The 12,725-nt window shown below is 38.6% G+C and overlaps 1 protein-coding gene and 1 pseudogene across 5 annotated transcripts in view; both read left to right on the plus strand.

Annotated features, from left to right (window-relative positions):
- The window catches only part of PTPRO (protein tyrosine phosphatase receptor type O), a 275,824-nt gene that overhangs the window by 112,982 nt on the left and 150,117 nt on the right, over positions 1–12,725 (plus strand). The window lies entirely within an intron of this gene.
- Positions 4,015–4,952, plus strand: RPS2P42 (ribosomal protein S2 pseudogene 42; annotated as a pseudogene).

A 12,725-nucleotide genomic window follows, 5' to 3' on the forward strand; every position in this document is an offset into this window, starting at 1 on the left:
TCTGTTGTTCTTTTGGCATTTGGGCTAAGGTTGGCTAAATTATCTTAGTAAATAAATTAGCAAAGCACCTTTTTTTTTTTCTTTTTGGCAATCTCTCTCTATAATTCCTCTTTACCTGTATCAGTTTTTCTCTTTTCCTCATATTTCTCAAATATATATCACCATTGGTTCTTCTTTCTCTTGATTGAGAATTTCTGAGAAATGTTGGTCCATAGTAACCAGTATTCCAAGGTTAGATGAAATAACCAGGACTTAGTGAGAAATGATTGTTCAGTACCATGGATAGCAGAACACTTATTTCCCCAAATACTAACACATACTCCTCCAAATTTTAGCTGCACCATTGAAAACATTTCTTTCAACATGTCTTTGGCTCAGGCTATTATTTTCAGGCCAAGAAGTTCTAGTCAGACTAGCCAGGCTGGCTATACTTTTTAAACTATCTGTGGCAAAGGATCAAGATTTTTCCCACCACTCGATCTACCGTGTACCAATATGTTCATCATGGAAACTGAACAACCTGCTCCTGAATGACTACTGGATACATAACGAAATGAAGGCAGAAATAAAGATGTTCTTTGAAACCAACAAGAACAAAGACACAACATACCAGAATCTTTGGGACACATTCAAAGCAGTGTGTAGAGGGAAATTTATAGCACTACATGCCCACAAGAGAAAGCAGGAAAGATCTAAAACTGACACCCTAACATCACAATTAAAAGAACTAGAGAAGCAAGAGCAAACACATTCAAAAGCTAGCAGAAGGCAAGAAATAACTAAGATCAGAGCATAACTGAAGGAAATAGAGACACAGAAAAACCTCCAAAAAATAAATTTATAAAAAGTTAAAGCAAACACACAAAATACAAGTAGTAATTTCTTTTTTATTATTACATAAAAAACAAACATAATATAGTCTGCCAAAATTGCTGTGACAGTTTTAAACAGCCCTGTGATGGCATCCAGTTGATAAAAGTGAGTAGAGCCCCAGTATGTGAGAGAGGCAGAGAGTTTCCCTCTGTGACTTACCTTTCCACTGGAGATCCAAGCAACCCAGGCCAAGAGAGAGCACTTTGCTTCTCCTAATCCCTGGAGTTAGCTTAGGGAGAGTCTTGGAGAAACTGTGAAGGAAAGACACCAGGAAAAGTGGCAGAAGTTTTCTCAGACCCTGGATGAGAGTAGGATGCCATTTTAAATCTGGGTGCATACAAAGTCAGCCATGCTTTGGTGCCCTAGCACCATGGCTACAGAGGCACTTTAGTCTTGTGCCAGAGATTGAAGCATCTTATCTGGAGTGGGGTGGGGGCCTCCACAGCCAGAACTGTAAAAAAGTGTCTCAGCAGTAGTCTCTGGAATTGTGCTCTCTCCCATCACAGGCAGGAGGAGAGCTGCTACAGTTGCGGTTTCTTCTGAGCAGCAAGACTTGCAGCCAGGGCCAGCTTGGCAATCTGGAACTGATCTGTGTGTGCCATTGCTGAGTGCCCCATCCTCCTCCCCTGAGATCGTGGTGCAACAGAGCCCTCCCTGCTCCATTCCTAGGCAGAAATCTGGGTATTTGGAACACCTGCTTGCCTGGACCGGTGGTCTGAGCCACACCACCCTTCCTTGATGTATATGGTGGTACAGAGAGGGTCTCTGTGCTCCATGCCCAAGCAGATTTCTAGGCATTCAGAGCGCTCATTCACCTGGTTCAGCAGCCTGAGCCACCTACCCTCCTTGTGCAAAGACTGGTACAGAGGGACCCTCTCTGCTACATGCCCAGGAAGATCTCCAGGCATTCAGAGCGCCTGCTTGCTTAGTTCAGCAGCCAGAGTCACCCCACCCCTCATGTGCAGAGATCTTTGTGCAGCGGGGCTCTCTCTGCTCCACACCCAAGAAGATCTCTAGACTTTTGGGGCATTGCTCACCAGGACCACCAAGACTGTCCAAAGATCTTGGTGCAAGGAATCCCTCTCTGTTCACACTCAGGCAGATCACCAGACATTCTGAGCATACAGTCATCTGGTTCAGCAGCCTGAGCTGCCCCACCATTTATGGACATAGATCATGGTATAGTAAGACCCTTTCTGCTCCATGCTCAGGCAAATCTCCAGGCATTTAGAATACCTGCTTGCCTGGTGTGGCAACCTGGGTTGCACAACCCCTTCTGTTCGTAGATATTGGTGCAGGAAGGCCCTCTCTGCTCCACACCCAGGAAGATCTGCAGGCATCTGAAGCACCCACTCTCCTGGATTAGGAACCTGGAACACAGAACTTGGAGCAAAGGTGGTTTCCTGACTCCACATTTAGACACACTTCTGGGTGCCTGGTAGCCACCCACTGGATTCTCACTTGATACTGGTGCTTGTGCTTGCATCAGGGGACCTCCAGGCAGACCTGCCCAACTGGTCCCACCCTTTATGGCTCCTACCCCCACAGTGCTGAGCAGGGACCTCAGACCAATGTGTATTCTATGAATCAACCCATTGCCTGGGCAACAGAGAACTTCCACTTCTAAATACAGATACCAGCCACTTTGACCACAGCTGGCTGTTATCTACAGGCTTGTAGGACAAACTTCACAGCCCAATATAAAACCTGTTGAAAGAAGTGCATACTGCTATAGAAGAAAAACTGAAAGACCCTCCTCAGCATTCTTCACAGTCACACCCCATAAAGCACGTAAGGGAAAGAGAATAATAGTAATGACATTATAAGGAAAGAAAGATAAAGGAAAAGTCCTACCTGTATGAAAAAAAATACAAAAATTAGAAGTGCCAGTGTCTCCAGGTGAGAAGCAACCAGCACAAGAATTCTAGCACCATGAAAAAACCTGAATGTAGTGAAACCACCAAAAGATTGAGCTACCTCTCCAGCAATGGTCCCTAGCCAAAATGGAAACTCAGAAATAATAAATAAAAATTCAAAGCGTGGATTGCAAGGAAGCTCATTCAGATCCAAGACAAGGTTGAAAATCAACAAAAGGAAATTTCTAAAGCAACCCAGGAAATGAACAAAAAGATAAACATCTTAAAAAGAAATCAATCAGAGCTTCTGGAATTGAAAAACTCACGTAAAGAATTCCAAAATACAAATGAAATCTTTATCAATAGACTGAACCAAGCAGAAGAAAGAATTTCAGAGATTGAAGAGTGGTCTTTTGAACTAACCCAATATGGCAAAAATAAATATGAAGAATTTTAAAAATGAGCAGTCCTCATGAAATATGGGATTATGTAAGAGGACTAAATGTATGAATTATTGGCATTCCTGAGAGAGAAGGAAAAAAACAAACAACCTGGAAAATATAGTTGAAAGAATAATTCAAGTAACATGCCTAATCTAGCTAGGAAGATAGATGTCCAGATACAAGACATTCAGAGAATACCTGTGAGATACTATGCAAAACAAATATCAAGCCATGTAGACTACAAACCATGTAGTCACCAGATTGAGCAAGGTCAACGCTAAAGAAAAAATCTTAAAGACTGCTAGAGGTTTTCCTTAGGCAAAGATCTTAAGATCTTTCCTTAGGTAAAGATCTTAAAGATCTGCTAGAGGACAGATCATGTACAAAGAGAACCCCATCAGGCTAATAGAGGACTTATCACCAGAAACCTTACAAGCCAGGAGAGACTGGGGGCCTATTTTCAGCATTCTTAAAGAAAAGAAATTCCAACCAAGAATTCTATATCTCAACAAAGGTTTATAAGTGAAAGATAAATAAAATATTTTCCAGACAAACAAGTCCTAGGGGAATTCATTACCACTAGACCAGCCTTAAGAGAGATCCTTAAGGGAGTTCTAAACATGGAAATGAAAGAACGATACCTGTAACCGCAAAAACACACTTAAGTACATAGCCTGCAGACCATATAAAGCAACTACACAATAGAAACTACAAAGCAACCAGCTAACAACCTCATGGTAGGATCAAAGCCTCACTTATCAATATTAACCTTAAATTTTAATGGTCTCAATGCACGACCTAAAAGACACAGAGCTGCAAGGTTGATAAAAATACAAGACTCACTTCTTATCCAAGAAAACACCAAATAGCAGATGACGCTGGTGGAGCGAGGGGGCCCGGAGGACTCGGGGGCCCTGGGATGGGGAACCACAGTGGCTTTCGTGGAGGTTTTGGCAGTGGCATCTGGGCTGTGGTCACAGCCATGGACAGAGCTGGGGCTGAGGCCACGGAGCTCACTGAGGCAAGGCCGAGGATGAGTGGATGCCCGTCACCGAGCTGGACCTCCTAGTCAAGGACATGAAGATCAAGTCCCTGGAGGAGATCTACCTCTTCTCCCTGCCCATCAAAGAATCAGATATCATTGACTTTTTCTTGGGGGCCTCTCTCAAGAACAAGGATTTGAAGATTATGATGGTGCAGAAGCAGACCCACGTCGGCCAGCACACCAAGTTCAAGGTGTTTGTTGCCATTGGGGACTACAATGGCCACATCGGTCTGGGTGTTAAGTGCTCCAAGGAGGTGGCCACTGCCATCTGCGGGGCCATCATCCTGGCCAAGCTCTCCATTGTCCCTGTGTGCAGAGGCTACAGGGGTAACAAGATCTGCAAGCCCCACACTGTCCCTTGCAAGGTGACAGACCGCTGCAGCTCTGTGCTGGTGCACCTCATCCCTGAGTCCAGGAACATTGGCATCATCTCAGCCCCTGTGCCCAAGAAGCTGCTCATGATGGCTGGTATCAATGACTGCTACACCTTAGCCAGGGGCTGCACTGCCACCCTGGGCAACTTTTCCAAGGCCACCTTTGATGCCATCTCTAAGACCTACAGCTACCTGACCCCCAACCTCCGGAAGGAGACTGTATTCACCATGTCTCCCTATCAGGAATTCACTGAGCACTTCTTCAAGACCCACACCAGAGTCTCCATGCAGAGGACTGAGGCTCCAGCTGTGGCTACAACATAGGATTTTTATACAAGAAAAATAAAGTGAATTAAGCCTGAAAAAAAAATACAAGGCTCATCAGTCTGCTGTGTTCATGAAACCCATCTTACGTGTAAAGACACCCACAGGCTCAAAGTACAGGGTTGGAGAAAGATCTACCATGCAAACAGAGAAGAAATAAAAGCAGCGGTCACAGCCCAGGTGCTGTGGCTCACACCTCTAATCCCAGCACTTTGGGAGGCCAAGGCAGGCAGATCACTTGAGCCCAAGATTTCAAAACAAGCCTGGACAACATAGGAAGGCCCCATCCTTTAAATAATAAACAAAAAAGCAGGGGTCACTATTCTTCTATCTGATAAAACATACTTTAAGCCAACAACAGTAAAAAAAAGACAAAGAAGGCCATTACGTAATGATAAAGGGTTCAATTCAACAAGAAGTCTTGACTCTCATAAATATGTATGCATCAACTTTGGAGCAACCAGATTTATAAGCCTGCTAAAAGACTTAGACAGCCACACAATAATGGTAGGGGTCTTCAACCCCCAACTGACAGCAGTAGACAGGTCATGAAGGCAGCAAACTAACAAAGAAACTCTGAACTTAAACTCAACACTTGACCAACTAGACCTAATGAAGGTCTAGAAAACACTCAACCCACAAACCACAGAGTATGCATTCTTCTTATCTGCACATGGAACATACTCCAAGATTGACCACATGCTCTACCATAAAGTAAGTCTCAATGAAATAAATATCAAATCAACCATACTCTCAAACCACAATAGAATAAAAATAGAAATCAATACCAAGAAAATCTCTTAAAACTACACAATTACATGGAAAGTAAATAATTTGATCCTGAATGACTTTTGGGTAAACAATGAAATCAAGGCAGAAATTTAAAAATTATTTGAAATAAATGAAAACAGAGACACAACATACCAAAATCTCTGGGATTCAGCAAAAGCAGTATTAAGAGGAAAGTTTATAGTGCTAAATGCTTACCTCAAAGAGTTAGAAAGATCTCAAATTAACGATCTAATATCACATCTAGAGGAACTAGAAAAACAAGAACAAACTAACCCCAAAGTTCTCAGAAGAAAAGAAAGAACTAAAATTAGGGCAGATATTGAGAATCAAATTGAGACCCAAAAATTCATACAAAGTATCAACAAAACTAAAAGTTGGTTCTTTGAAAGGATAAACAAGATCAATACACTAGATTAACAAAGAAAAGAAGAGAGAAGATCCAAATAAGCACAATCAGAAATGACAAAGAATGACATTACAACTGATCCCACCAAAATACAGAAAATCCTTGGAGACCATTATGAACCTCTCTACACACAAAAACTAGAAAATCTAGAGGAAATGATAAATTCTGGGAAACACACAATTTCCCATGATTAAATCAAGAAGAAATTGAAACATTGAACAGACCAACATCAAGTTCTGAAATTGAATCAGTAATAAAATAAAAACTACCAACCAATAAAAGCCCCAGACAAGAGGGATTTACAGCCAAATTCTACCAGATGTACAAAAAGCTGGTACCAATTTTACTGCACCTATTTCAAAAAATCAAGAAGGGAGTCCCTTCTAACACATTCTACAAAGCCAGCATCAGGCCAATACCAAAACCTGGCAAAGACACAATGAAAAAAAGAAAATTGCAGGCCAACATTCCTGATGAACATAGATGCAAAAATGTTCAACAAAATGCTAGCATACTGAATTCAGAAACACATCAAAAAGCTAATTCACCATGATCAAGTAGACTTCATTCCTGGAATGCAAGGCTGATTCAATGTACACAAATCAATAAATGTGACTCACCACATAAAGAATTAAAAACAAAAACAATATGATTATCTCAGACACAGGGAAAGCTTTTGATAAAATCCAACAATTTTTTGTGATAAAAACCCTCAAGAAACTAGGCATCAAAGGAACATACTTCAAAATAATAAAAGCAATCTATGACAAACCCACAGTCAGCATCATACTGAATGGGCAAAAATTGGAATCATTCCCCTTGAGAAATGGAACAAAACAAGGATGCCCACTCTCACCACTCCTATTCAACATAGTACTGGAATTGGTAGCCAGAGCAATCAGGCAACAGAAAGAAATAAAAGGCAACCAAATAGGAAAAGAAGTCAAACTATCTCTCTTCATGGACAATATGATTCTATACATTGACAACCCTAAAGACTCCACCAAAAGCCTCTTGGAACTGATAAATGACTTCAGCGAAGTTTCAGGATACAAAATCAATGTACAAAAATTAGTAGCAGTTTTATACACCAATAGCATTCAAGCTGAGGGCCAAAACAAAAATGCAATCCGATTTACAATAGCCACACACACAAAAAAATACCTGGAAGTACATCTAAACAAAAGAAGAACTACAAAACACTGCAAAAAGAAATCAGATGACACACACAAATGAAAAAACATTCCATGCTCATAGATTAGAAGAATCAATATCATTAAATTGGCCATGCTGCCCAAAGCAATCTACACTTTTAATACTACTCCTATCAAGCTACCAACATCATTTTTCACAGAGCTAGAAAAAAAACTATTCTAAAATTTATACAGACCAAAAAAGAGCCCAAATAGTCTAAGCAATCCTAAAAAGAAAGAACAAAGCCAGAGGCATCACATTACACAACTTCAAACTACACTATATGCTACAGTACCAAAACAGCATGGTACTCTTACGAAAAGAGACACGTAGACCAATGGAACAGAATAGAGAACCCATAAATAAAGCCTATGCCATCTGATGTGTAGAACACCTAAAGCCATCTGATCTTTGACAAAGTTGACAAAAATAAGCAACAGGGAAATAATTGCCTATTCAGCAATAAATAGGACTGGGATAGCTTTCCAGCCATATGCAGAAGAATGAAACTGGATCCCATATACTACAATTAACTGTATACAAAAATTAACTGAAAATTGATTAAAAATTTAAACATAAGACTTCAAACTATAAGAATTCTAGAAGAAAACCTAGGAAACACCAATCTGGACATCGGCCTGGGGAAAGTATTGATGACTAAATTCTCAAAAGCAATTTTAACAAAAACAAAAAATGACAAGTGGACCTAATTAAACTAAAGAGCTTCTGCACACCGAAAGAAACTATCAACAGAGTAAACAGACAACCTAAAGACAGGGAGAAAATGTTCACAAACTGCACCTGACAAAGGTCTAATATCTAGAATTCACATGAAACTTAAACAATTGAACAAGCAAAAAACAAATAATCCCATTAAAAATAGGCAAAATACATGAACAGACACGCCTCAAAAGAAGACACACAAGAAACATGAAAAGATGCTCATCATCACTAATCATCAGAGAAACGCAAAACAAAACCACAATGAGATAGCATCTCACACCAGTCAGAACGGCTGTGACTAAAACATCAGTAAACAACAGATGTTGGCGAGGCTGTGGAGAAAAGGGAATGTTCCTACACTGTTGGTGGGAATGTAAATCAGCTCTGCCAATACAGAAAGTAGTTTTGAGATTTCTCAAAGAAGTTAAAACAGAAGTGTCATTTGACCATGCAGTCTCATTAATGAGTATATATCAAAAAAAAAAAAAATTCTACCAAAAAGACACATGTACTCACATGTTCATCACAGCACTATTTGTGATAACAACATCAAGGAATCAACCTAGGGGCCTATCAGCAGTGGAATGGATAAAGAAAATATGGCACATATAGACTATGGAATACTATGCAGCCATAGAAGAGAACAAAATTATGTCCTTTTCTGCAACATGGATGCAGCTGAAGGCCATTATCCTAAGCAAATTAACACAGGAACAGAAAACCAAGTCCTGACCATTCTCACTTATAAGTGGCAGATAAACATCCAGTACTCACGGACATAAAGATGGCAACAACAGACAATGGGGACTACTCAAGGGGAGAGGGAGAGGGTGGGGCAAGGTTTGAAAAACTAACTGTTGGCTACTGTGATTAATACCTAGGTAATGGGATCATTTGTATCCCAAACCTCAGCATCACACAATATATCCAGATAACAAACCTGTGTATGTACCCCCAAATCAAAACTAAAAATTGAAAAAGAAAAAAAAAGTTTTAAAGGCAAATCCTCCATTGATATACTTACTTTGTTACATATAACGCCATAGACAATTTATTCCCCTCCCCCGCCCAAATTTGTTTGCCGAAACGTAATCCCCAATGTGACAATATTTGAAGGTAAAGCCTTCAGGAGGTTATTTGTTCCCTTATAAAGGAGGCCCCAGAGAGATCCTCCTCCCCTCCCACCATGTGATGACACAGCAAAATGATGACCATCTATAAACCATCATGCACCAAATCTAATAGTGCCTTGATCTTTGACTTCCCAGCTCCCAGAGCTGTGAAAGATAAATTTCTGTTGTTTATAAGCTATCTAGTCCATGTTTTTTTTATAGCTGGCTGAACAAACTATAATAGATGACTTATAAGTAGTTTTCACACTGGCCTTATTCCACAGACCAGTCTTTGAATAGTAATGACTAAAAAAATTAGGACTTTTTGTCTCTCAATGGGTTCTATAATTAGCAACCACAATAATGTTTCAAGTACCCAAAAAATGTCATATAATGCAATCACTTAAAATGAATATAAGCAAAGAATATTTACTGATGTGCTGAGTTTCTTCCATACATTAATGGGAAAAAGCATATTAGAAAACAGTATGATCCCACTTTTATTAAAGAACAAGAGCAGGTTTAAAGAGTCAGAAAGTATAATAGTGGTTACTTCTGGGTAATGGACTTATAAGGATTTTTTTTCCTTTGTTGTTTATGTTTCATTAGCTATATATGCTAATTTTGTACAGTGGTCATATATTTCTTTTATCTAAATATTAGGACTCATTGAAATGGATTACTATTTTAAAATTGATTATTCATTCAATATTTTTATATTTCAATCTAGGGTCTGTTACTGAGTCCCTAAGTGCTTTTATAAATGGCTGGATAGGCACCTCTGTAAATAAAGTACGTAGCCTTAGAGGCTGAAACAATGTAAGTGCACAGGAAACATTTATTGTAAGAAAATGAAAGGAGTGAAGTTCTTTGGTTCTTATTTTTAAAGCATTATGTGTCAAAAATGTATTTGGTTGAGTGTCATCAATTTCATGTGGCCTAACCTAATGTTAAGTGGAGTTACAGCTAAGTAAAATGTTCTGTCCCGCTTTGAGTTAACAATCAATCATGTGCTTACACTAAATGGTGGATAATCATTACTTTTATTTATTTTATAAAAATGTAGTTTGGTATCTCCATTTAGAAAAAAAATTACTTCATTAAAATGAATCAACTTAAATTGACATGGGCTTGTTACTCTAAATTTCTACTTGATTTCCTTATTGTAAATTATCTTCAATAAATTAATCCTTATCTCCCTAGGCCAGGTCTTTGACATGTCTGGAACAAAACTCAGCCAAATATTAAAATGGGAGGACAGAAACAGTTCAACTGAAACATATTAGCAAAATCTAAGTTGGATGAATTTATGCTTTTTAGGATGCAGAGCACTCATGAAATTGACATTTGTAAAGCAGCATTTGTAGCATATTGATTAAAAATATTCAATATATGGATTTTTTAAACAGTGAACCACTCATTACTCTAATGCCTCATTAATATGGTGTCAATCTATTCAGAACAATGCATAATAGCAGTGCACTTTCTCAGCATGTTATTCTATTGTTCAATTTGAAAAACAACAACAACAACAAATAATCTCAAGCCTTTTCCTTAAATGTTGGGGGTTTGTTTTTCAAATTATATGGGTTTTGTGGTACTAGAAGTTCAAATTTTACTAATGTAAACTACATTTCTCTAACTAAAGAATCATGGTCAATGTAGAGAAAATTATTATTATAGAAGAAATTGAATCAGAAAAACACCTTTCAAAACCTCCTAATTCCCTGCCCTGTCCACAAAAGAGATGGAAGGCAAGGAGGTCACCACAAGACACTCAGAGCAGCATTTGCTGCAGCAACTAAAATAATGGGAGACTCATTCCGTTCTTCCTTATTTACCTGGAAATATAAGTAGGAAAAGATATTTTATTTTATAATTAAAATATTTTATTCTAATATTTGCTAGGGACAGGAAGATAGAATAGGGAGGAAGGCAAATATATGATGCCCGATGGATTCTTTGGAATAAAATTCCATAGGGAATGTTCCTAGTATTAGGAAAAATCATTTTTAACATATAGTAAGCAAGTTACTTGGGATGTCATAAGTAGGATAGAAGTCATATGAAAGTTATAATAGAAGTCCTTTTTTCTTAGGGTAAATAAATATAAGTAGGAAAAGATATTAATTTTTTTATTTATTAAAATATTTTATTTATATAAAATAAAAGTAGGAAAAGATACCCTCAAAATTCATCTCACTGTGCCAGCAGGGAGCCGTTGAGGAAAAGTCTATTTTCAGTAGGGAAGCTTGGAAAGAGCTGGCCAAGTTGCAATTCTCTCAAGAAAGTAACACCTGCAGAGAGCACACATTACTCATATTTGGGATACTCATGACACATCATCTAGCCCCCTCCTCCCTGCATGTTAGCACACGGTGAGCACACCCACTTTCCAGTGACTTCTTGGTGTTTTGCTTACAGAAGCCTACATTCAGCATATGAATCATCTAGCCCTCCGCAAGAGGCTGCCTGGAAAGAATAAGGTTTTAGAGAACCAGCCCTATGGATTGATCATTGGTTCTGACCACACAACTATTATGACAAGTGAAATAGAATAACAACAAACGGCTATGATTTTTGTCTTTGTGGATGGATTTCATGGGGGGGAGGGCAGCAGTAGAAAGTATAAATGACATGAAAGAAAGAATATTAAGCTCCAAAATTGTGCTTAAGTAAATCTGGAATAAAAAACTGCAGCAGGTTCTTATTGCTCAATTCCAGCCCATTTGCAGAGAATAAAAAGGCAAAGCAATGTGGGTGAAAAGCAAGGAATTTGCCACCTTAGCTTTGAATACTATTTCATTTATGAGTTTAACTGTTTCCCCACCAGCCTTCACTAATTTCACTTGATCTCCATCAAGAAAGATGGAGAAGGTTTTGATGAGCAAGGCAGCACTGACAAAATTAGATGTAGGATTAAAAAAGAAAACCAATCCACAATGTAATGAATTACTAAATTTAAAGACAACTAGTGAATTCCTGGGCAAGCATGATGGATGCATTCAAACATAGATTCTTGAATTTGCCACAATCCTATGCCCCATAGCTATGACTTTTCACCAAAAAGCAAATTTTTAAGAGCCAAATTTGCCATCGATGTGAGTGGGTTGCATCTTATAGTCTTTGAACAAAAAGGACAATTATAGGTACATTGAGTTCCTGGTTCCTTGGAAACTAATGGTTTCATTCTCTGCAGATTGATCACGTCAAATTCATCAGGTTCATTTCCAAAAATAAAAATCCCCTGTATGAGGGAAATTGTGGATTTCATGTCAGTCTTCTCAGGAAATATTTATTTTATTTCAAACTATAATTCCAGTTGATCTGCCTAGCAGAAACAAGTGAAATTGCTTCTGTTATCATTGAGATAGAGTGATTTCCATTTTCAAATATTCCAAATGGCATTTACTTGTGGTAACTGTAATAATAGAGTAATACATTTACAGCAATGTGATAGCAATATAGAACTACTCTGAAACACATGCTGTATATCTCATTTCTTTAGCCTATAAGATATCAAAATGCCAAACATTACATACATATGTAATTCTCCTACTTACCACATTCCAGGTAACTTGCT

The sequence above is a fragment of the Homo sapiens genome, chromosome 12 (genome assembly GCF_000001405.40).
Source record: "Homo sapiens chromosome 12, GRCh38.p14 Primary Assembly".
NCBI lineage: Eukaryota > Metazoa > Chordata > Mammalia > Primates > Hominidae > Homo > Homo sapiens.